The 26,938-nt window shown below is 37.5% G+C and overlaps 1 long non-coding RNA gene across 1 annotated transcript in view, besides 2 other annotated features; it reads right to left on the reverse strand.

The window, feature by feature from the left end:
• Nucleotides 1-5,608: 5,608 nt before the first annotated feature.
• The window catches only part of RNASEH2B-AS1 (RNASEH2B antisense RNA 1), a 28,335-nt gene continuing 7,005 nt past the window's right edge, over nucleotides 5,609-26,938 (reverse strand). Inside the window, exons 2-3 of the long non-coding RNA NR_046552.1 lie at nucleotides 12,840-12,966; nucleotides 5,609-5,876 (exon numbers count right to left, since the gene is read on the reverse strand). This is a non-coding gene — a long non-coding RNA (RNASEH2B antisense RNA 1). The remainder of the gene's footprint in view (nucleotides 5,877-12,839; nucleotides 12,967-26,938) is intronic.
• Nucleotides 16,807-17,346: an enhancer, noted in NCBI's record as "OCT4-NANOG hESC enhancer chr13:51467712-51468251 (GRCh37/hg19 assembly coordinates)". NCBI's record gives its function as "activates a minimal SCP1, AML or CMV promoter by ChIP-STARR-seq in primed H9 embryonic stem cells {active_cell/tissue: H9 hESC(primed)}" and the evidence as "EXISTENCE:reporter gene assay evidence [ECO:0000049][PMID:30033119]".
• Nucleotides 16,817-16,966: an enhancer, noted in NCBI's record as "active region_7769". NCBI's record gives its function as "activates an Ori minimal core promoter by ATAC-STARR-seq in GM12878 lymphoblastoid cells {active_cell/tissue: GM12878}" and the evidence as "EXISTENCE:reporter gene assay evidence [ECO:0000049][PMID:35858748]".

Raw genomic sequence — 26,938 nt, forward strand, 5'->3', positions numbered from 1 at the left:
TCTGGACCTAATGTCTGTGTCATTATCTCTTTGTGTATCTTCGTGCCAATATCAAACTGTCTTGATTATTGAAGCCTTGCACTTTGAAATCAGGTCGTCTTAGCCCTCCAACTTTGTTCTTCTTTTTCAAAATGAATTTGCCTATTTTAGGTGCTTTTCATTCCTGTGAACTTTAGAGTTAGCTTGTCATTTCCTACAAAAACAAACAAACAAAAAAAGCCTGTTGGGATTTTGATTTGGACTGCGATGAATCTATCAATTTGGAGACAACCGATGTCTTAATAATATTAAATCTTTCACCCATGAACATGGTATTAGTAACTATTTATCTATCATCTATCTATAAACATTGTTAAAACAATCAAACACTGCTGATACATATACACGTTTTGTTGTATGCTGACCATTTCATGTAGAAACAACGATAGTGACTGAAGCAAATAATACTGATGCCTATAAAATGGCAAAGCCCTGGTTCTGTCAGTCCCCTGTGATTGGAGACAGGGCCCATCTGATCTCTGTGTAGTTGGGCTGGGTCTGAGCTTTGTCACAGCTTATTGTGATTCAGTTCATGGCTGGTTTTAATATCTGAAAAGTAGAATCAGTACTTTTCTCTCAGTGTATCTTGGAATCCTAGAGACAGTAAGACTCTGGAAAGTTCTCCAAGCTTCACACAGCCCAGCCCCCAACTTTCCAAACTGTGGGAGTTCTCTTTATGCCTTACAGCCCAGCCACCAACTTCTTGGGTTGCTGGGGCCTTTTCTTTGCCTAAACTCTGCCTCCACATCTCAGAGCCTTAAGATAGCTCTTCCTCCAGCATTCAATAGGTGGCTACAATGTACTCAGTAGAGACCTTGTGTAGGGAGGGTGGAGGTAGGGGTGAGGTGGGTGGGTAGGGTTGAGGGGATTGGAGAGTTGAAAGGGTTTTCGGGAGCATCTATTTCTCTCAGTTCTCCTGCTTTGCCTCTGGCTACTGCAGGCTGCTGCCTTGCATTTGGTGAAAGCCTCGTGCTTTCTAGGAGGGGATTTCTTTCAGCTTTCCTGCCTTACCCCCAGTGTGTAATGGGGACTGCCTTGCAATGGATGAACCTCACATGCCTTGGAGAATCCCTCTTGCTTCTCCTGCCTTGCTTCCTGTGCTCAGTGGGCTACTTTCTTGTACTTTGGGAAGACCTGGTGTACCTGGGGAGGGTATTTCTCAGTTCTCCTACCCTGGCACCAGCTTTCAGTGTACGACTCCCATCCACTCAATGGAGGCTGGGTGGGTACAGACTAGTTCTATTCCTGGGGTACCTTGTGATTCTACTCTGTTATGCCAACCCATATACAATCATCCAAAATTTGTTTAAAGATAGGCTGGTTTCTCCCTTCCTCTTCTGTGCTCCTTCCAACATGTCCCTAGGAACAAAAGCAGCTGTGGGACTCTTCTCTCTAGGAAGAGCTTGATCCTTTTGGAAATGTAGTTAATTTGAGGGATTTTTTTCTTTTTTTTTTTTTTTTTTTTGGCTCCTGGGTTCTCTGATGAGTGTGAAACATGCAAATGAAAGCAACAACAAATAAAACTGTCATTTGTAGTGCTTCTGGTCTGTTCTCATGGTTAGAGTAAGAGTGATAGACTCCTGCAAATTTCTGCATCTTATAAAAGAGTGGAGGCTTGTCCCCTCATTGGGTTTTGTACATTGTCTTTGGGCTGTAGGTTGTACCTGTCACTAAGGTACCTTAAATAAACATACACACACATTTCGTTTTTTAAAAATGGCTAAGTCAAGCCTCTAAGTTCAACATCCAAACTCCATGTGAAGGAGTTTCAACTTTCTTTGGTTTTCAAAAATCCCCTCTAAGATCTTCCATATTTGTGATGGAATTTACATAAAACATTTATTCAAAAAAAAGTTATTGAATACCTAGTATGCACTAAGGGCTGTTTCAGGACCTGGAGATGCAAGATAACAGTGCCATGGAGCTAACGTTCTAGTGGACTTCTGGAAAAACTAAGGGATCGTGACTTAGCTGTGACTGCAAGTCACATATGCAAGTTCACCACAGTTGACCTTTTGAAACAGTCATTTCAGGAGTTAAATTATAAGGAAAATTCATTCCAGACCTCTGCTGAAATAAACAATGCTTCTAAATTCTATAGAGATGTGTAGCCAGTGGGGAGCTGTCTGACTACATCAGTTTACAGACTTCTTTCAGCAAAATCAGAGATCCACATGGAAAACCAAGTATTCAGGAGCCTCTATGTATATTACAGCATGCCCTGGGGCCTCAAGCAGTCTCCTTTATGTGTAATTTTTTCATCTGTGACAGATTTAATGTGGATAATAATGCTTACTTAATAAGCAATCCAGTATAATTTAACAGAAGTTACTAATGTAAGTTCAAATGAGTTTTCATTTACAATTTTAAGAACACCATGTGTATGACAGGAAAACAGTGGGTGAAGAGCTGATCTAAAAAGCAAAAATGGTAACATCCTGAATTATGCCATAGAATCCATTTATTTTGATTAACCAGCTGAGACTATGAAAGGTGGAAAATGCATTTCATGGTAGATATACTTTAGGTATAATACTAAGAACTTAAACCAAAGGATTGTACCATTCACCTGACATATCATAAGACATGAAATCATGTTTACTTACATACTTTTAGTTTATCCATTAAAAAAAGAGTCAGCAAACTTTCTCTAAAGGTCCAGGTTGTAAATAGTTTAGGCTTTGCAGACTATAGTTTCTGTTGCAACTACTCTATTGTAGCATGAAAGCAGTCAGAGACAATAAGTAAATAAATGGGCAAGGCTGTGTTCCAATAAAACTTTATTTACAAAATCAGGCAGTAAACCAGATTTGGCCTGTGCACTGTAGTTTATCAACCCCTAGACCATCCTGGCTAACATGGTGAAACCCCATCTCTACTAAAAATACAAAAATTAGCCAGGTGTGGTGGTGGGCACCCATAGTCCCAGCTACTCGGGAGGCTGAGGCAGAAGAATCACTTGAACCCGGGAGGCAGAGGTTGCAGTGAGCCGAGATCACACCACTGCACTCCAGCCTGGCGACAGAGTGAGACTCTGTCTCAAAAAGTAACTAACTAACTAACTAAATAATAATAATAAAAATAAAATGTCATATTGGCATTGTAATTACACTCTCCAGAAGAAATTACAGGTTATGTACAAAATGTATTGCTCCATGACTGGCTACAGGCAGAATGGGTGGCTGTCTGTGTGTTATGACTCTATTAAAATATTACTGTATTATGGAAGTATTTCTAGACCTGTATGATGGAATTTTTTAGTGTGTATGATATCAATACATAATAACCCTGTGCCTGAGGGTGATTAGGGAGATAGATTCTCAATAGACTCTGATGTAGTAGGTTTCTTCTGAATGGGGAAGAATTGATTAGATTAAGATCACTTTAAAGCTGTAGTCAAGCTTGTCCAACCCATGGCCTGCAGGCTGCATGCAGCCCAGGATGGCTTTGGATGTGGCCCAACACAAATTCATAAACTTTCTTAAAACATGAGATTTTTTTGCGATTTTTTTTTTTTAGCTCATCAGCTATCAGTAGTGTTAGTGTATTTTATATGTGGTGCAAGAAAATTATTCTTCTTCCAGTGTAGCCCAGGGAAGCTGAAAGATTGGACACCCCTGATGTAGATGCTTTCAACACCATTCATTCATTCAACCAGCACAGATGTTGTTCACATCATGTTGGGAACTGGGGGTATAAAGAGAAATAGAAAATAGTGTATTTCCCCAGTGGCTCACAGTCTAGTGACAGAAAATGATGAAAACAAATAATTAGAGAAATGTAATAAATTCCGTAGTAAAAGCATGAACAAGGCACGCTGGTGTATTGCAAGGGAAGCTCTTAACTTTGCCTGCAGATATTAAAGAAGACTCTGTGGAGAAGATGACATTGGATTGGATTTTAAAGACTAAATGTTTGCCAGGCAAACAAATGGGGAAGATAATGCCAGGAGAACAGGCAATTTTATATTAGTTTCTTCACTTTCTTCTCACTCCTTGTTATCTGGCTTCTCCGTCTCCACAACTTTACTAACTCTTTTCTCCTGAAAGACTCCAATCCATAAGTGTTTCTAGGCTACGTTTTCTCCTTGACTATTCTGCTTCATTTCACGTCACTAACCACTATCTCTTCCTCTTTCCTTCTTTTGATTTCTTTTTAACAGATTCATGCTTTTGAATGATCATTCAGCTTGCAGAGTGGAGGATAGATGGTAAAAGGGAGACTGGCCAGGATTTTAATGTGTTGATCAAAGTAAGAAATGATGAGGGCCTGACCCAAAACTTGGAGTGCTAATTGAGAGGCAGCACAGATTCTGGAGTTATTAGACAAACTGGCTCCAGTGAATAGGGCCCATGAAATGAGAAGCTGGGGACAGGGGTGTGGGAGGGAAGGGTAAGGGTCATGTCTGACCCCACCAGATGTGCTGTGGGCTTGGTGTCTTGGAGCAGGGGTCCGCAACTCTTAGGCTATTGACTAGTACCGCTGGTTCACAGCCTGTTAGGAACCAGACTGCACAGCAGGAGGTGAGTGGCAGGTGAGTGAACATTACCACCTGAGTTCTGCCTCCTGTCAGATCAAGGGCAGCATTAAATTCTCAGAGGAGCATGAACCCTATTGTGAACTGCTCATGTGAGGGGTCTAGGTTGTGCTCTCATCTAATGCCTGATGATCTAATCTGACATGGAACAGTTTCATCCCAAAACCGCCACCCCCCACCCAATCCATGAAAAAATTGTCTTCCACGAAACAGGTCCCTGGTGCCAAAAAGGCTGGGGACTGCCTTGACAAAGTAATTGACTCTCTTCTTAGAGATGCTTTCACTCACTAACATAAAACAGATTCAAGGATATTTTTCTCACATTTTAAAAGTATTATTTTTAAAGTTAAAATACATATAACAAAAAAAGAACCGCCTTAACCATTTTTAAGTGTACAGTTCAGTGACATTAAGTACATTTACATTGTTGTGCACCAATCACAACCATCCATTTCCAGAACTTTTTCATCTTGCAAAACTGTAACTCTGTACCTACTAAACAATAACTCTCATTTTCCCCTACCCCTGCTCCTGGCAACCACCATTCTACCTTCTGTCTCGATGATTTCATTACTGTAATTACCTCATATAAGTGGATCCTATAGTATTTGCCCTTTTGTGACTGGTCTAGTTCACTTAGCATAATGTCCTTAAGGCTCACCCATGTTGTAGCATGTGTCATAATTTCCTTTTTAAGGCTGAATAATATTCCATTGTATAAACATACTACCTTTCGTTTATTCATTCATCTATTGATGGATACTTGGGTTGCTTCCACCATTTGGTTATTAATTTTACTCACTTTTTAAAGCTTAAAATAACATTTGTAAAATGCTTATACTATTTCAAATGAAAATATGTGCAACTTCTTAAATTTTTTGAAGTATGAATTATTATTTTTTCATTAATTATGTTAACAGTATAGAAAAAGAGAAAAGTGCCAAAAGTTGATATCAACCAGCACAAATTTTTCAAAATCTTGTTACTCTTCTTATTAACATTCTAATTATTCTTTTTGTCATTTTTTCTGCCTTTCACTTTCTTATTATGACCCAGTTAAGAGATTGGCTGTTACATATAATAGTCAAAATTTGTTATGATTATGATTTTATATACTCAGTCCTTGCTTTGTTTTACTTGAATCTTTGCCAAATTCCATGCTCACCATTACTTCTTGCATCCCAGTTCTTTCACTTTGTAATTTTCTTCTTCCATAAGTACATCCTTTAGTAGTTCTTTCAGTGAGGATCTAGTCAATTTCCCAGACTTTATTTCTCTGAAGGTCTATTTTGCCTTTACTCTTGAACAAAAAAAAAAAAAAGATCATAGCTAGACATATAGTGAAACTTCAGAACACCAAAGACAAGTCTAGAAACTTAACAACTTTAATACATACACATGTGGTATATGACAGAAGCAGCATTAGAAATTAGTAGTCTTAGCCAAGTGTGGTGGCTCACACCTGTAATTTCGGCACTTTGGGAGGCCAAGGCAGGCAGATTACTTGAGGCCAGGAGTTCAAGACCAGCCTGGCCAATATAGGGAAATCTTGTCTCTACTAAAAATTACAAAAATTAGTTGAGTGTGGTGGTGCATGCCTAGAATCCCAGCTACTTGAGAGGCTGAGGCAGGAGAATTGCTAGAACCCAGGAGGCGGAGTTTGCAGTTAGCCCAGATTGCGCCACTGAACACCAGCCTGGATGACAAAGCGAGACTCTGTCTCAAAAAAAAAAAAAGAAATTAGTAGTCTTGGATAAATGGGCTATTCAGATAGATAAAAGACCTAAATGTAAAAAAAAAAAAAAAAAACCAATATTGTAAAAGTTCGGAAGAAAGAAAATAATATCTTTATGACATTGGAGTGGGGAAGTACTTATTACATAAGATTTTAAAACATAAACCACAAAAAGAAAAGGAACTTGAGTATCTTAAAATTTAAAGCATACCTCTGCACAATAAATGAAATCATATAGCAAAAAAGCAAGATACAAACTAGTATATTTGCATATTACATAGCACATACAATTATTAGTATATAAACAATTCCAACAAATTAATGAGAAAATGTAATAACCTAATTTTTTAAATGAGCAAATAATATGAGTAGGCAATTTATGGGAGAAACTTGAATAACCAATAAACGTGAAAAATTGGTTAATCTCATTAGCTGTCAGATAAAACTAAAACAACATTAAGTTGACACTTTACACTCATTGGCTTGGCAAAGAAAACATTTCAATCTGACAACACAGAATATTGGTAAGAATGTGGGAGAAGAAGAGCTCTTAAAAATCATTAGTAAAGAGTAAATTTCTATAATCACTTTGACAAACAATTTAGCATCACTTAATAAAGATGATAACACACATAACATACAATCTAGGTTGTTCCACTTCTAGTTACAGATCCTGGAGAATGTCTCCAGTATGTGTAAAATGGAAATAGACACAGGCATTCATTGTACCACTTTTGTAAGTATATAAAAGGACTAACAACCTAACTTGATGAGTGACTAGATAAATAAAGTGTGGCTTACCATAGAATAGAATACCATGTAGCAGTTAGAATAAGGGTACTGGATACAAGTCAACATGGAAAAATCTTTAGAAAATGATCTGTGTTAAAAGCAAGTTGCAGAATGCCACTGCTCAGATTCCCTAGGAAACAGACCCTGTGACCATGAGAAGCATACAGAAAGTTTATTAGGGAGTGTCTTCAGGATTAACACCTGCGAGGAGCTGGGCACAGTGGCTCATGACTGTAATCCCAGCACCTTAGGAGGCTGAGGTGGGTGAATAGCTTGAGCCCAGGAGTTTGAAACAAGCCTGGCAATACTGTGCAACTACATCTCTACAAAAAATTTAAAACTAGCCATTGCATGGTGCCAAACGCTTGTGGTCCCAGCTACTTGGGAAGTTGAGGTGGGAGGATTGCTTGAGCCTGAGAGGTGGAGGTTGCAGTAAGTTGAGATTGCACCAGTACACTCCAGCCTAGGTGACAGAGAAAGACCTTGTCTCAACAACAACAACAAAACAAAACAACAAGAACAATGACAAAACAAAACCCTGCAAGGAGTGAGGAAAGCGAGACTGGCAGAGGGAGAAGTTAAACCACAGTGTAGTTGCAGCAGAGGCTTCAGTCAAGCCTGTGGGGAGCTCTGGAGCTGGGATCTCCCTTTAGAGTAGCCCTGAGTTGAGGCAAGAAGGCCAGATCTTCCTATTGAAGAAGGAATAGGAATTGTTTATTTACTAATAACTGTATGTGCTATGCAAATATACTGGTTTGTATCTTGCTTTTTCACTATATAATTTCATTTATTGTGCAGAGGTATTTTTTAAATTTTAAGATATTCAAGTTCATTTTCGTTTTGTGATTTATATTTTAAAATCTTATTTAATAAATACTTCCCTACTCCAATGTCATAAATGCCCTATCCCCTCTCCCAGTCAATGGTCAGTGGATGCTTGTAGGGAGGGTGTGTGACTTTGGGCAAGGCTTATGGCCAAAGGGAATTCTTGGTGAGAGATTCAACTGGAAGCTATTCTAAGCTTACATCTCCAAATGAGGGAGCAAGTGCCTTGTCCTGAAGATCTGGTGGGCCATGCCACAGTGTCTACCACCCAGAATGATCTGATTAGTATTAATATAATATTTGTGTCATTTTACAAACACACAAAAAGCAATACGCTAGTTATGTATATATAAATACATTAAAAATTGCAAACACTTGTATGGGAATTATACATCAATTTCACCATCATGGGTACTAATGAGGGAAAATGGAGGTAGAGACGGAGGTAGGGATGAGGTATCTGAGGCTTCAGCCATTCCTTTAATATTTATTCCAAGAAAGATGGGAGGAGAAGAGAGAGTTAAAACAAACATGACAAAATGTAAAAATCAGTTCAATATTATGATACGGTGAAGATAGGAATATGTGATTATTTTTGTACTTTTCTATGTCTGAATACTTCATTATTTAACCCTAAAAGAAAATATTAGAGAATATGTCTCAGAGAAATAAGAACTTGAGAGTCATTCTGTTAGGCCTTAAGTGGTCATTGGGAGAGCAGAGATTGACATTCTGTGAATAGGGCTCAGGGTCTTAACTGTAAAATAAATTAGATTATTTTAAGACTACCTCCAATTTGGAAGAAAGACTTTCAATTTTATGAATGTTTTGATAAAATCACAGCTGTTGGTCAATGAAAGCTTTAATTCTGTGAAGAGTGAAATAGTCCTCCAATTGGATCAGCTCTTTAGTTTTTACAATCAAGTGTCAACTTTGTTCTTAGCTGTACCTAAGGCATATAGACCACTTTCAGCAAGCATTCACTAGATTGACCAGCTATTATAAACTAGGCACTGTTCTAGGCACTCGAGATAAGACAGAAAACAAAACAGATTTTTAAAAAGTTCTACTTTCCCTGTTAAAAGAATGAAAAGACAAGTCACAGAGTGGAAGACAATATTTACAAAACACATCTGATAAAGGACTTATATCAAAAATATGAAGAGAACTCTTAAAACAGCATTAAGAAAGCAAACGATGCAACTTAAAAATGGGCAAAAGATCAAAACAGAAACTTCACTAAAGGTGGTGAGGATGTGGAGCAGCAGGAACTCTTATTCATTGCTGGTAGAAGTGCAAAATGGTACAGCCACTTTGGAAAACAGTCTAGCAGTTTCTTACAAGCTAAGCGTAGTCTTACCATACAATCCAGCAATTACACGCTTTGGTGTCTATCCAAATGAGTTGAAAATGTGTGTCCACAAAAAACCCTGCACACAAATGTTTATAGCAGCTTTATTCATCATTACCAAAACTTAGAGGCAACCAAGATGGCTTCAGTAGGTGAATGAATAACTAAATTGTGATATATCCAGACAATACAATATGATATGGTAATGAAAAGAAATTAGCTGTCAAGCCACAAAAAGATGTGGAGGAAATTTAAAGGCATATTGCTAAGTGAAAGAAGCCTGTCTGAAAAGACAACGTGCTGTATGATTCCAACTGTAAGACATTCTAGAAAAGGCAAAACTATAGAGACAGTGAAAAGATCAGAAGTTGCCAGTGGTTCAGGGATGGAGGGAAGAGGGATGAATAGGTGGAGCACAGGGGATTTTTTAGGATCACCTATGTGATCCTGTAATATGGATACATGACATTATACATTTGCCAAAACCCATAAGACTGTACGAAACAAAGAGTAAACTTACGTTAATAATAATGCATAAAGATCAGTTCATCAGTTGTAGCAAATGTACCACACTAATGCAAGATATTAATAACAAGGGAAATTTAGGGGGGTTAGGGTGAGATGGGAAAGGGCATTAAGGAAACTCTATGTACTTTCTACTCAATTTTTCTCTAAAATTAAAACTGATCTAAAAAATAAAGTCTACTAATTAAAAAAAAAGAATCCTTGTCTTTGTGGAGCATACACAATGGTTGGGGGAAATAAGTAATGTGTTTATAGAAGATGGAAATACTAATACATTCCATGGAGGAAGGAAAAAAGCAGAGAAAGCCAATAGAGAGTGAGGAGTTGCCATTTTAATTGGATGACATGGAAGGCTTCCATGAGAAAGGACATTTAAGAATCAATAAAAAACTCAAAATGCTTCCACTGGATGGGCACGCCAGACCTCATTTTCAATGAAGCATCTGTCAGAGGCTCAGGAAAACACTAGTGAAAGGGTAGATTAGATGACAACACTTAACCCTTGATCAGTGTTAACAGTACTAAAAATGGGACCACGAGACCTCATGTGCCGCCTGATGGAATGCAATCGGAAACACGCGATAGTACCTATGGAGTATTTGCCAAAATAAATGCATCTGAATCTAAGCAAGCTTCACACTCAGGCAGCAAGCTCATGAAAAATACAAAGGAACAAGTTATTAGATTAATGGGTTGAATGAGAATGCGATCAGCAAAATCTGGCATGCCGGAAGTTCTACAGGACAAATGAACCAATGTCTTCAACAAACAAAAAAACGGCTAAAAATGGGGAAGTGGGAACTTTCATAGATTAGAAAATACCTAAGAGACATTTCAACCAAATGCAATTTGTGGACTTTACTCTGTGATTTCAACAGGACTGTAAAATATATTTGAGAAAATTGGGGACATTTGAACACGGACTGCGTAATAGGTGAAATAATAGAATTAATGTTAATTTTGTCAGGTATGATAATGGAATGGTGGGTTTGTGGTTTTTAAAAATGCTCATCTGTTCGATTTATATACTACTGACTTAATTATGGATAAAACAATATGACATCAAAAAAGGTGAATAATAGATAAAGCAAGATGGACAACTGGGGCTGGACCTGTGCTTGGTGGGTCCTTGGTGTACCTGGTGGGTCCTGAGCACCACCCCGGTGGTTCTAGGTGTGCCCTGTCAAATTCCTGAAAACTCCTCTTATAAATGTGCAAATATTTATAATCAGTTTTTTTTTTTTAATAAAAAGAGTCTAACATTCTATGGCGACATTATGTGTAAAAAAATTCCTTTGGATCAGTTATGTGAAATATTTTTTAAAAACCAAGAAAAATGTTAAAAATTGTTGAATTTGAATATTGTGTCAATGGGGTTCATTATACTGTCTTTCTACTTTTGGATGTTTGAGAATTTCCTTAATAGAACAATTTTGAAAGTCTAGGAATACTAAGAGATATTAGAAAATTAAAAGCAACAGTCTAAGACTGATTTTCAAGGTGTTTTGTTTTGGGTTAAAGACAATTTCTTTTAAAAGGCAATTATGGACAAGTCAAATATGCACAACAGATACATTTGGAACTACCTGACTGTGATGGAGTCACTCTTCTCTCCTCTGCCCCCAGAGATACAGCACATACAGTTTGAAGTTAGTTCAATTAAGGTAACAATTTTCATTGTCTACTAAGTCAACGACTCTCGGTCTTTTGGAATATGCTGGATGCTTTCTAGTGTTTACTAGAATACTTGAGTAGTAAATACTTTCTAGTATTTACTAGAACTTGGAGTAGCACAATTCAAAGGATTCAGTGAATTAAGAATATACCAATCAACAATAATTGCACTACAGCTGACTAACAATATCTCCTGGTATCCATAAAAGACATTGCCAATGAATACACTATTTGGTTTCCCTATCACAGTGTCACAGTGTCAAACAGTTTGTACTCAAACAACTTGAGTACAATTCTTTACTGTTCTGACTGCCTGTCTCTTATGTTTATGGCAAAGTCCCAGTGTGTTCCAGTCATTTCTTACTTTCCCTGTTACTTGACATTACCTCTTTCTCAGTGACTCTCTTCAACACAGCGTCACATAACATGATCATTCCAGTCATCTACACTGAACAAAAAGTTCAAAATGGGAGCAAACATAACCTTTACACATTGATAAAAATATGGTATCATTAATAGTCCATTAATTGGATGTTATGCTAATAGGTTTGATCATCTGAAAGCTATATACCTGGATTTATCTCCCCAGATACACCTTATTTATCATCCTAAATACACCATGAAGACCTAAAAGAAATATGAGGTAATATGCTCTAAATATAATTTTTGATATAAGATATGACAGAATAAAAATTGTTTGCATCTTTTTTGAAAATCACTATGGAAGATGTTGTCCACTGAATGACTCCTGTAAACCTATTTAAGTATCATAGTAGAGTTTACACATAGGAAAATGATTGCTTCCTTTTGTTTATAAATGATCTGTTTCTCTATGTTACCTTGACTTTCACATACGTGAGAGCTAAACTGAAGCTACCATAATTAATTTAGGTTCTCTTACACAACGAACCCTGCTCATTTCCATCCCATCCAGCTTTATTTAATGATTCTATTGATGTATCTGTTGTGGACATATTTTATTTTGTCCCCCCAGCCCAAACACTCCCTCTTCTGATAGCAGCAGCACCTTCTTTTAGATAAACCCTTCTCCCCACCTGTCCCAACTCCAACCTTGTCGTTTTAGTAATGCAGTCAACCTCTGCCTTCTGCCACTCTCAGACCATTGCCATGGTCTTTGCTGAAGGCCAGAGTCTTTGACCAGCATTATTTCAAATTGAAATCAAGGAACTAATGAAGGAGGCATCTTCTTGACCAGTGATAAGCCAGATGACCACAACCTCCAAGGTGTGAAAGAATGTGACACAGAAAGACAGACCAGAGTCTGAGACAGCTACTTTCAGCACCTGGTACTATTTCCTCCCAAACCAGATACATCCCTGCCCATTCAAGGGTTAGGTTACCTGAGCCAATAAGTGTTCCTCATGACTCCAGTGAGTTTCTGATTGGGTTTCTGTCACTTGCAATCAATATTACCCTGCCTAATACAGAGTACTTCATTGTGAGCTGTCTCAAGTCTTTTGCAGAAGCCTGCAGAGGAGACAGAATAAAGTAAGGCCATTTATTTAATAATTTATTTACTTCTTTATTTCATATAACTGGTTTATTTCCAAAGTTTATTTGCAATATGTTGAATGAATAGATAGATATTGGCTCCATTAGAAGGCCATCTTGAGCCTGGGCAACATAGGGAGACCCTCTCTCTACAAAAAAATTTAAAGAAAAAATTAGCTGGGTGTGGTGGCACATGCCTATAGTCCTAGCTACTCAGGAGGGTGAGGTGGAAAGATTGCTTGAGCCTGGGAGGTTGAGGCTGCAGTGAGCCGTGTTCATGTCACTGCATTCTAGCCCAGGCAAAAAAAAAAAAAAAAAAAAAAGCCATCTTGGCCATCTTCAGGAAGTAATATCCAAGAACTTCAATTACATTATTTTTTAAGGTAATTGTGCTTCAACCTTCAACACACTCAACTCCTCTAGGCTCCCCGGATTCTCTGGAGGCCCATGTAATGATATAGTTCTAGACTGGCAATTTAGTATATCTAGAAGTGCTGCCTTTCATAGATAAAAGGAACATTTGAGGCCATGCAAGTAAACTCATCAGTTCCTGTATGACATACGGAAACCCAGAAGTGTTAAGCCATCTGCCTAATATCACACAGCTCTCCATCACATCCCAAACCTGAATCAGATCCCAAACCTGAATCTAGCTCTTCTGATACCCAGCTCAGTGACTTTTCCACTGCACCATGCCCCCAAAGTCCTTTTCAGGACAGACATTAAAAAAGAAATAGACTTTGCTTTTCTTTGTAAAGCCATTGAGGCAGTTCTTCAGTTTCGTTGCAAGGAAAAATGGATCTTGCTCATGCAATGAAAAGTCTTGCAGTTTGAGAGGCTACTGTATGGGAGGACTGCCTAATGAGGGTCCTCAGAGCAGACTGCGGTGCAATAACACTGGGGTACGATAAGCTGGGGAGAGAGCATTCTGGGTCTGGCTTAAAGGGGTCCACAAGGGCCCTTAACTTCCCTTAGTTTTCTGACTTTTCTAAGTATACTTTTTTGCTAAGTGAATATAATAATAGTAATAATAACACCTATTGTATTTTACCAATCTCCTACAGTTATAGGAAGGATCAAAAGAAACGTGTGTAAAAGTACCTGGTAAAGAGGGAAGTGAATATTCTGTCATAGTACCAAAAATTTCCCGTTTGGGTCATCAGACAGTCTGAGATTCTGTTTTGTCTTTTCTAAGAACACTCCATGCCTATTCCAACCTTCCAGCCTTCCCTTGCCTGGAATGCGTTTTCCCTTTTCCTCCATGTCATGAAACCCTCTGCATCCTTTAAACACACTTTCTTTGCTAAAGTGCCTTTCTTGAGGGCTTTGCTCTGAATCCCTTCAGTGGAGTTTGTGGATCACTGTTGCACTCTGCTTTCTCTGGTCATTGCTTTGGGCTCTTTCTCTCTGGCTAGACTGTAAACCCCTTAAGCCAAGAACACTATTTTATATGCCCTCTCCTCCCAGAGTACATTAAAAAAGCAGTGGGTGCCAGTAGGCAGATGCTTCTTGAGTAGCTTAATAATCCCCAAGACAGCTCTTACTTGCTTGCAAAAGGCAATTGTGCACATCCCTTGCCAACTTTGGGTTCAGCAATGTCAGATGGATGGCTTGAAATTGGCAGAGCTCAGAGTATTTACACCACAGAAATTGGCAGATGCCACAGATGGTTTTTCTTTTTTCCCTGAGAGCCAGCTGTTAGCATTGACCAGCAGCCCATGCACTAAGGCAGATATAACATAGGTCTGCAACAGAGAAGAGAACATAGCTCTTAAAACAGGAGTCACAGCTGGTATAGCTCCACAGGAGAAGGTGGAACAAGCCTTATAAAGGATGCCCACAATCAAATTAGAGCTCCACAAATCTAAGTAACTAGAAAAAAAGCTGCAAGACCTTTCTACTTTAATACCAGTGATCTCATGTTTTTCTCAAGAGTATTATTAAAAAGGTGATAGACACGTGGAAATGGGAGAGGTAAGGGTGTTTTATCATTATTGTCAGGGGTGTAGAAACAAAAGCTTTAAAATTCTTTAAAATATATTTGAGGGGGAATACAATGGCTTGACAAAGCTTTATAATTACATAATTAATTATGGGGTGAAATGTGATTGCAGGGCCTTTGTATTTAAGTCTCATTCAGCATTCATGGCATCGAGAATTTTCTCCACTTTGCTATAAAAAGGATTTTGTTCTGAACAAAGAGAAAGAGAGAGCTGATATAATGTCATGCTTGGTGCAAATGGCAGCATAAGAAAGCAGAAGGTTGAGGTGACCAGCCAGGGGTGACCAGAAAAAAAGTGGGGTGGGGTGGGATGATCCACAAGCTTTCCTATTAGTTTTTTTTAAAATCCTTTTTCTTAATGTAAATTACCCACTGCATAAAACAGTATAACATTAGACATTTCTGATTTAAGGAATAGGATTAACGTAAATCTTATATTCCACTTATATGAATCAATAACTTTAGAAGAGATTATTTGCAAAATATCTGCCTGTAATCTCCTAGCATCTTCACTGCTGTGCACAGCCCCCACCCCTCCAGCCACATAGGAAGCAGGTGGTGTTTCCTGGGCAGGGGAACATGGCGCTGGGGGAGGTGGAGCTCATTTGTCTCTTGATCTTGCCTTTGGTGGTTGCATCCTTAGCTGGACCCCATGAGACACTTACCTTGCTTTCACAGAAATCACTCACTCTGTGAAAGAAATGAGAGTAAAGGAAGGGAAAGAAAATTAAGGAAGGCAGAAGTGAACATGGAAGAGAAAAACAATAAGAAAGAGGAAATAGAAGGGCCATGGTTTTGAAATACAACGCCTGGAAAACAGAAAATGAAAACAGAATAAAGGAATGAAATTGTAAAAGCTATGAAACAAAGTAATGAGAGAAATAAAATCTTAACTCTGAAAAAAATAGATGTGATTTATGACAAATATCAGGAAAGTGACTCAAGAGCATCCTGAAATCTCCTTGATAGTACCGAAGGGAGACCTGGGCTTCTTATGATCACTGACATCTGTAAAATAAGAATGGTAGCTGTAAATTTTGAAACGATGAAAAATAACCTTGTAGCAGGAATCAAAGGGAGAGTTTGATCTAATGTTGGCCAGAATGAGTCAAATACATTCACTTCGCTAAAGTGCTCTGCGTTGGTCAGCCGATTTTTCTTTTTTTTTTTTTTTAAAGTAAAATCTTTTTTTATTATTATTATACTTTAAGTTTTAGGGTACATGTGCACAATGTGCAGGTGAGTTACATATGTATACATGTGCCATGCTGGTGTGCTGCACCCATTAACTCGTCATTTAGCATTTTTCAGATTCTACGAGACCATTCAAATTCCAGCTCTGCTTGATATTCTCTCTCTTTGTAGTGTTGAGACAAAAGCCTTACAAATGTTTGTGTAGAGAAATCAGTGATGTTAAAAAAAGCAATCACTTGTATGAAAAATTCCAAAGACAGCACTAACATGAAATGATGAAAATGCCAAAGATATGAAAAATAAAGACAACTGTTACAAGACGTAACGGCTCTGAGTGTTTGCTTTTATGTGACAGATGTTTTTAACCAAAGCTCAACACTGGCAGTTTGAGTACACTTCTGATTTTAATTTGTGTTCTATCCCCTTTTCGTATTGATGTCTACTCACATCTGTGAAGGCTCTGTAACCTGAATTTGACAGGGGAAAGTGAACAGACTGCTTTTGGAGTGCTTCCATTAAGTCCACATAACAGACTGTTAACAAAAATCTTAAATAGCTATTCTAATCATCAACAGCAATCTTACACAAATTAAATTAGGCCCAAAGGGCCCGATTAACTTTAAAATGCCTTACAGGCATGAAACATAAATTTAACTTATTTTCCCCCTTTGGAGTAGAAAGAGAGTTGTTCAGTGTGACTCAGATGCACAGTTTAAAAAAAAAAAAAGTATGCATGCTGTGAAGACATGGAGACAGGGTTTCATTTTCTTTTTCAGGAAACCACACTTACAGGCATTGAAATTCAGTTAGGCCACAGCCATGCTCCCTGTTTACATGCAAAGTAGATGCATTAAGGTTTTCAAGGTTTTAAAGTAGATGCATTAAGGTAGAGTTTTTGCAGATGGCACAGCTACTCTAATCAGCTCAAGGAAGTCCTATTGCTAAAGAAAGGAGACATATATCAACATGCATTAACATTAAAATGATGCCTTCAGAAGAGGTAAAAGTTGAACTAGAATTTCTGTAGTTCAAACCCACCTATCAAGAAATGGGTTAGATTCATGATTTAAAATTATACCACAAATCAAAGAAAAAATACTTTTTTAAGTGTCTGCTCTTCTTTATTTTAGCCAAATCTCTAGAGGTCTGTCCAAATATATTTCTTGAATTTTCTTGAACTAGCCAGCAGGTTCATCACTTGTGGATTTGCTGTAGTCTCCAATCCTCACAAGTGTTTGATAGCTTTTCTTAGGCAACTTCCTTCCAGCTGCATGGAACATGTAATTTCGGCCCAAGTCAATAGCAGTGAATGAGAAACCCAGATGCCAGGGAAAGGCAGCCTCCCAATAGATAGAAAACACCTGAAACTGGTGATCAGCAGCTTCCGGATAAGATCTCAGGAGTTGGGCCAGTGGGTTCAAGCATGCACACTAAGAGGCAAAATGGCAGAGTTTGACTGGTATATGACCTTCTAGGAGCAATCAACTGGTAAGAGAAGAGTGCTTCAAGTAAGCATGTGTACAACTCCAGTAAACACACTGCGCATGCGGCCCCTCCCAAGCACTAGCACACAAGTGGTCAGCCCACCCCAAGGGAAGAATCAGGGGAGAGGGGACCCAAGACCCTGTAAGTATGTCAGCATATAAAACTCAAAGTCAAAAGGTCAAACTGTGTACTTGATCTCCCAAGTTGCTTGCTTGGCCCTCTTCCAAGTGTACTTTACTCCCTTTCATTCCTGCTCTAAAGCTTTTTAATACACTTTCACCACTGCTCTAAAACTTGCCTCAGTCTCTCACTCTGCCTTATGCCCCTGAGCCAAATTCTTTCTTCTGAGAAGGTAAGAATTGTTGCTGCAGACCTATACAGATTCACCGCCAGTAACACTTTCAGCTCTTACAAGACCATTATAGACACCCGTGCTTGTCAACAACCTCCTGCTCTGATAACCTCAACATAAATTTATTTCATCAAACAGCAGATGCTCTCTTGTCCCACCAGCCCAGACACCAGTGGGTGAGAGTCATGGAAGGTGTTCATTTTCTGCAAAATATTCATTAGTACTTTAGAGAACCAAAGTAATTTTCAGAAAACTACCTATTTTCCAAATACCTCAGAGGAAACTGACCATATCTGGATCACTGGTGATAGAACCTAATTAGGTGAAGCCAATGGCAGTCTTCCATCCCCTGAGATTAGTACAGGGATGGGCACCATAATCCGAGATGAAATAAGCAGAATAAAAACAAGGACTCATATTTCATGTTACATTGTATACCAGGAAGTATATATCCCCCATGGCCACTGGCAGCCATATTGCGAGCACAAGGAGAACCAGTCTTAGGATGAAACTAATGCTGCCCTACCTTTGAAATCCAGTTATGTAGATAAATGTTCTTATTGCATACACAAGCTTGAGTCAGGTATTTTGATTCCTCGTAGGTGAAACTACTTAATTAATTTAAGTGGTCTTATGAGTAATTTGTACTCCAATGTCTCTGAAATTTTCCTAGAATTTAACTACTAATCCCAGGGACTGGGCCAGAAGAAGCTCTAAGTAGTAAACAATATAACTCAATGTTGTCCTCTTTTTCCAGTGCTAGAGCACTGTGGTTGACCCAAGGGTGTGAGCTTCTTTTAGTGGGTTATTCTCCCAAGATAATTCTATCATTATGCAACTAGACTTTTCCTACCCACCTGAAAAATAGGCCCTGTTATACCCTACGATGTCAAGCTAGGCTCATGCTGGAACTCCCAAAACATGAACAAATGTAGTTTTATAAAGTTTGAGCTGAAAAAATGTTGTGTTTTTTTTTTTTTCTTTTAGTTTATTCAGCTTAATCCCCTCTTTTTAGGTAAACCTACAATGGGGAAATGACTTGACTAAGAAAGCAATAGACTAGACCTAGAGATAGGACAGAGCCCAAGGCTTCAGTTCTGTGCTCGACCTGCTGTCCTGGTACACTGAGGCTGAAAACTCATTTCCAGCACCCCTTCTCAATGGCACATGAACATTATATAAACACTGTATAGTTAAGTCGTCTGAATTTTTCATTTTTGCCATATTAGCTGTTATTACTGTTATTGGTGTTTTCTGAGAAATAACTAGCTCACAGTGCTTAGATGCAGTGAAAATCTAAAGGACAAACCATTTGGAAAAGAGTTTAAAGCTCCAAGTTAAGGTTCAGCATCAGTTGTCCTACTGATGTTGAGGTTATCTGATTATACTTAGGCTTCTTAAGCATGTTCTAAAATAATCAAGTAATCAGTTAACAAAACACCCTATATTTTAATATAAAAAAGCACAAATAGCAAGATGAACTTTTATTTTATAAAGAATCCATATTAAATGCTTAATTATGAACGTTGCTGCTAAAGAAGTCTTTGAAATGTCATTTTCAATATATCCTTGACCTACTTAAGAACAGACACTTGTTTCTTTTCTCCATCCTCAAATTTAGAAATCTCTGGCTGATTTTTAAAGCATTTTGTAGATCACATCAAGTTAAAAAGCTTCTGCACAGCAAAGAAAACAATCAACAGAATGAAGAGAAAACCCACAGAAATATTTGCAAACTACCCAACTGACAAGGAATTCATAACCAGGAAATGTAAGGCGCTCAAACAACTTTACAGGAAAAAAATCTAATAACCCAATTTAAAAATAGACAAAAGATCTGAATAGACATTTCTCCAAAGAAGACATGCAAATGGCAAACAGGTGTATGAAAAGGTGCTCAACATCATGATCATTAGAGACATGCAAATCAAAACTACAATGAAATATCATTTCACCCCAGTTAAAGTGGCTTTTATCCAAAACACAGGCAATAACAAATGCTGGCGAGGATGTGCAGAAAAGAGAACACTTACACACTGTTGGTGGGAATGTAAATTAGTACAACCACTGTGGAGAACAGCTTGGAGGTTCCTAAAAAAAGCTGTAAATAAAGCTGCCATATGATCCAGCAATCTCACTGCTGAGTATAGACCCAAAAGAAAGGAAACCAGTATATCAAAGAGATATCTGCACTCCCATATTTATTGCAACACAATTCACAATAGCCAGGATTTGGAAGCAACCTAAGTGTCCATAGACAGATGAATAGATAAAGAAAACGTGGTACATGCACACAATGGAGCATTATTCAACCATAAAAAAGAATGAGATCCTGTCATTTGCAACAACATGGATGGAACCAGAGGTCATTATGTTAAGTGAAATAAGCCAGACACAGAAAGACCAACTTTGCATGTTCTCACTTATTTGTGGGAGCTAAAAATTAAAATCATTGAACTCATGGAGATAGAGAGTAGAAGGATGGCTACTAGAGGCTGTGAAGAGTAGTGGTGGAGGTGGCAGGGAGTGGTGATGGTTAATGGGTACAAAAAAAATGGTTGGAAAGAATGAATAAAACCTAGTATTTTGACAGCACAACAGCATGACTATAGTCAATAATGATTTTATTGTACATTTAAAAACAACTGAAAGAGGATGATTGGATTGTTTGTAGCACAAAGGATAAATGCTTGAGGTGATAGATACTCCATTTACTTTGATGTGATTATTACACATTGCATGCCTGTATCAAAATACCCCATAAATATATACACTTATGTACCCACGAAAATTAAAAATTTAAAAATAAATAAATAAAAAGCAATCCGTGACCACCAATTATTCAGCTATTTCACTTCATCACCTCCTGTATTCTCTGAAACATCTGCACTATAGCCAGAAACTTCCATTTAACAACATGCTATGGTATTCGGGAGTATTCCTCCCTCAGGTTTCAGCCTATGTTTACCCTATACCTGAAATGCCCTCTCAACCAACTCTTCCATGACAGTTCAAGTTCCATTCATCCTATGGGGCTCTTTATAAATGCCTTCTCATTCATGATGAGTCCAGCCCATACTGATTGTCCTTACCTTTTCTTGCTTTCACAACTGTGCTACCGATTGTTGTGTTATGGTTTTTTTTTAATATTTCATGTGTGGATTTTTTCAAATTTGATTGTAAGCTGTTAAAGAATAAGCAATGATGTTTTTCTTTCTTACATGCATTCTACAGAGCATCTTGCACATATGGAAGTTGAAAGCTCCTCTACAAGCTTACTGATTGATGGATAGAAATAACTAGAGTACAAGTGAAGTGGTGCCCTCTTTGCCTTCCTCCCCTCTCCAGGGCCTTCACTGCCACTGTCCTGTTAGAGTACCATTAACTTCCAATGTTAGAACAGGCTCTTGATGGCTGAGGACCAAGTTTTGTTTGTTTGTTTTTGTTCTCTTCCACTGCGTTCTTTCTGCCTTGCTGTAGATTCTGAGTAGATCAGTTAAGATCTTCACGCCTATAGAAATGGCAGACAGAATCTCAAATTTTAAAGGACAACTAGGATGTTGATAATCTCTTCTGGTTCCAAGTAGGGTAGAGCATAAGCTGTTTCAGCAAAGTTCTTGTTCTCAAAATCCCCAGGCAATCTTAGGTGTCTTGCAGAGATATGAAGTTATTTCTAATATCTAATCTAAATCTCTGTCTGCCACTCAAGTCTCTTCCCTTTATCACAACCCTAAGTGAAAACAGGAACTAGGGCTTTCTTTGCTGAAAACCGTGTCCACACCATATAGCTATTTTTAAAAAGATGTATTCCCAGCTTATCTTCTTTACAAGTTAAGGACATGGTGTTGTGTTTTATATCTGGTCTCTGTTTGAAAATAAATGGCCATCTAGAGTACAGGCTATAAGGAAGTAAGCTCTTCTTCAAACATACAGAAAGTAGAGACAAATTTTGTCACATTTGCTTTAAATATTTTATTTTAAAATTTGAACTATTATAGATGTAGGTGAATGATGCCTTTGTACCACTGCCTGTTTTCCCTTCCAAAGAGTGATGACTATTCAGGGACATTTTTTTTCCTGGCAAGTTTAAAAATAATATATATGTATATTCACAGAAATATATATAACGAACATATCTCATATACACATATATATCATATACATGTTTATGTCATGGGATATCTACATAAATTCCATATACAATATGCACCATTTTTAAGTGTTCATATTCTTTATGTAAATCATACCACAGTATATGTATCACTCTGGAACTTTCTTATACTTAAGACTTAGTATGTTCTTAAGATTTCACTTATGCATCTACAGTAATGTGTTACTTAACAACAGGGACACATTCTGAGAAATGCATCATTAGGCGATTTTACCATTGTGTGATTACCACAGAGTGTACTTACACACACCCAAATAGTGTAGCCTACTACATACCTAGGCTGTATGGTGTAGCCTATTGCATCTAGGCTACAAACCTGTATAGCACGTTACTATACTGAATACTGTAGGCAATTGAAACACAATGGTCTTTGTGTATCTAAACATATCAAACATAGAAAAGGTACAGTAAAAATACAATATTATATTCTTCAGGACTGCTGTCATATATGAAGTTTGTTGTTGATGAAATGTCATTACGCAGTACATGACTGTATTATAAAACTTGAACCCATCCTATGGTAAATCTAAGAACTTTCCGCAGCAGAAAAAAATATCTAAAACCAGAATCTAGTTAAAAATGAATTTTGAGTTTTGAAAGGGCAATTTAACAGTTTGGAAAAGTACCAATGCTTATACACTCATAAAATCATGCTGCTTTCAAACATTTTAAGAAACTCTCAAAATATTTTGAGACACAGTTGTAAAGTTTTCCCTGTTTTCTAAAAATAAATATATCTAAAGATTGGTCTGGAGATAATGAACAAAAATCTATTAGTAAATTTACTAATTAGGGTCATGTCTATGTGTTTATGAAAACATTAAACATTTGTTTATTTGAAGTAAAATCACTTTAGCCAACTACCATAAATATTGGCTGCCTGTCAGAAATGATGTACCCGAATTTCACGTTTTTCATTTCCTCATGGTAACCCAGCCCACACAATATTTTTATATAATGACAGCTGTCAGGAAAGCAGAATATCTTATATATACATTGTATTTTGATTAATGAGCTAATGATGGTTCTCTGTTTAAAGTAATTAGCCCCCAATGTGGTTTTTAGCCAAAGTGTGCTCAGAGTTGACAATGATGTGATTATGTTATCCAGTTAGGGTATAGCCAAAATGATCACATTGCCTATAGCAATGCTTTTTGAAGTGCCATTACTAGGTTATAAAATCAACTTAATATATTTTATTAGGGTTGAATAAAGAAAAGAAACCTAATAGATTAGAATATACCAAAGATATTAGCATACCTTGAGTACAACATGTGTAGGTTTATGAAACCTTTGTTTTAATAATGTGTGTATCTTTTGTGTGACTGCAAAGTCATCCTATAAAATGTATTTCTGACCGTGGATTACAGTAAAAACATTTTTAGAAACCCTAGGCTTCTTTCAGGTTTTTATTGCAACTGAAGTTGTTCTAGCTTTGGCCCTTGGCTGTGTAATGATTGAAGTCATTCCCTTATACACACTTATGCTTTCTTACCACCCCTTGGCCAGCCCTTTGGTGGAGCCCATTTCATCCCTGCCAATGGCATGTGAGGTCCTCACTTCTCCAGCTTTACCTCTTACTGCCCTTTCCCTCTTGTTCAGTCCATAGCCTTCTTTGCTGTCCTTGAACGTGCCGTGCAGGCTGCAGCTGCAGTGCCTTTCCACTGTCTGTTCCCTCTGCCTGGAACACTCTTCACTCTGGTATTCACACGCCTACCTCCTTTTCTTCCTTCAAGTCTTTGCTCAAATGTTAGCTCCTTTATGAAGCCCACTGTGACCACGTTATTTAAAATAGCAACCCTCCTCTTTTTTCTCACAGACCTCCTTTTTCTGCTATATTTCTTTCCTCCACAGCACCAGCCACCTTCTATCACATTGTAGAATGTATTTATTATGTGTATTGTTTGTCTGTCTCCCTCTACTAGACATAAAGTCCAGGAGGGTAGGTATTTTAGTATGTTTTATTTATGGATTTAATTCAAGCAACTAGAACAGTGTCTGGCACAAAGTAGGTATCAATAAATATTGATGAGCTAATTCAGATTGGTCCAGATCATGAGAGAGAGAGAAAAAGAGAGTGGCCAAGCATCAGATACAAATTTACAGGAGATTCTAGTGCATTCTTTTTTTTTTTTTTTTTTTTTTTTTTGAGACGGAGTCTCGCTCTGTCGCCCAGGCTGGAGTGCAGTGGCGGGATCTCGGCTCACTGCAAGCTCCGCCTCCCGGGTTCACGCCATTCTCCTGCCTCAGCCTCCCAAGTAGCTGGGACTACAGGCGCCCGCCACTACGCCCGGCTAATTTTTTGTATTTTTAGTAGAGACGGGGTTTCACCGTTTTAGCCGGGATGGTCTCGATCTCCTGACCTCGTGATTCGCCCGCCTCGGCCTCCCAAAGTGCTGGGATTACAGGCGTGAGCCACCGCGCCCGGCCTCTAGTGCATTCTTAAGTTATGTCCTGTCTTTTATGAGAAACTTCTAACTCTCCTTTGAAGTAGCTATTCTTTTTACATTTTCTCCTTATAGGGCCCATTCCCATCTGGCTCTACAAGATATTAGAGCAACAGCTTCTACTAACTTCTAGGAATTCATCCAGAAGAGTGTATTGAAAGTCAAAAAAAAAAAGGAGTCTCTGTTTACAATTTATAGTCTTAATATAACTAATCTAGGCAAAATCATCAAAACATGTGCTTCTGCTGAACTTATTTATCCAACATGGAAAATAAAATAGTAAAAAAAGGTCAGAAAATAAATCTTGGGGATAGTTGGTTTACAACATAAAACTAAGGAAGAAAAGTAACAGGATCAGTGCAATGGGCCCAGTTTCCCCCGCCCCTGCTGGAGTTACCACATTTAGTGAATAAACTAAACTGTGGAGTTGGCTCTGCTGCTGAGGCAGGAGTGTTATGTACTTGGGCCATCTCATTCATTTCCCGCCTGAAAATTTCCAACATAGCCAGAAAGACAGGCTGCTACTTGCACCTAATGAAGTCAACAATGCCTTTGTGTACTGACTCCAAAAATGATAGCTTGATCTGGACATTGTTATATGAAGCATATGTAAAGTAGCTTCTGTTTTGCAAGAGTTAGATTATTATTAAATAAATCATTTCTGGAAAAAATGGTAGAAAGTCACTTCTGAGTTGTACATGGTTACCACAGGAATGTCATTTGGATGTTTGCTCACTGAAGACACACCTGATGTTAGAAATAAGAAACGGAGGCAACTTCAAATACATTGACATCATAAAATAGCAAGCAAGCAAACAAAAAATGCACAAAAGCTCAGCAAGGGGTGTCTAAAGATTTGGCCACTCCTTTTAATCATTGTCCTAACCTCTGTTATTTATTTAAAATACTGTTCAGATTATGTAAAAAGCAAAAAAAGTATTTTTTTTCTTCTATCCCCAAATTTTTACCTTCTTTGTCCCAATCTATACTTATGGTCTGAGCAATGTGAACATCAATTCAGCTATAAAGCTCCTTTTAACTCAGTGTTTAACTCTGAAACCAGAAATGTTGCACCATAGCTTGTTCATACTTCTTAATCTTTTAAATCTTAATCCACATTTTAAGTAGATAGCAATATGTCTGGAGAGTGCCCATCCACAAGAAGGTGACAGAGTCTATTTCGTTATAGGCGTGCCACTTTTTTGTCAATTTAGTCACAATTTAATCAATTACTGCCATTACTATGGAAATTACTACAGAATGAATATTGTAGTCTTTAAGTACAGAGCAATCCTTTTACATTTTAACTCAATATTAAATCCTTTTTAAATCTCTAGTTTCTTCCCAAATCCAGAACAAAGGATGCTTGCTTTGTTACAATCTTCACCTCTAGTATAATCTTAATAAGAAATACAAAAGACTCATTTACTCTGCCTAAAAGTTTTGATAAAGGTATTTTTTGGAATGTGCTGCATGTTTATGCTAAAAATAGAGAAATTATAAGCACTTTTAAAGGATAATCTGTTTATTAATTGAATTATATTATCAAAGAATTAGAGATATTTAGTGAACAAATGAAGAAGACTAAGTTTTCAGAAATGTTGCTTTTGCATGATCAATATAATTGCAAAAGTCAACATGAAATTGACATTATTCTGTGGAAGTTACAACACTTTCTCTTTAAATACTCAGTCAATATTACCTATTTTTGCTCTTAAGCAAAACATTGGGTGAAATGCTCACATTACCAGAAAAATTTGTTAATCTTTGGCAAGCAACAAACCATGTTTAGTACTTGCATTTCCTGTTTTACAGATGTTTTGTTAGACTGAATTAATAAAATATCTTATTACTATTTGAAGAGTATTTTACTTATAGTGAGAAAGCAGCAGATATGAACAGCTTTGATTTTAGTAATGTGTCTCCTTAAGCCTCTTAATTGTAGAGACTGTTGGTAAAAGTAATTAAGATTTACCAAAAGAGAATCAGGATATCATTGTTTAGGCACCTAAGAGGAAGAACAGGGTAAAATGAAGCCAGAAATTAATAGTATTTCCACCATCAAATTAAAAATACTAAAAATTTTAGAAAATATATCACAGTTGAAGTGATTCAAGTGCAACTATGGTTAGACTTTAGTAACCACCCTTTTATTCTTATTATTCTTTTTAACTGTGATCATATTTTCTATAAAAGTTTATATCCTGCTTCAAAAAACAATTTTTTAAAATTTTGGTTTCCCCATTTATTATCATGTTAAAAAATGCATAGCTTGAAAAAAATCTCAAACACACTGC

The sequence above is a fragment of the Homo sapiens genome, chromosome 13, assembly GCF_000001405.40.
Source record: "Homo sapiens chromosome 13, GRCh38.p14 Primary Assembly".
NCBI lineage: Eukaryota > Metazoa > Chordata > Mammalia > Primates > Hominidae > Homo > Homo sapiens.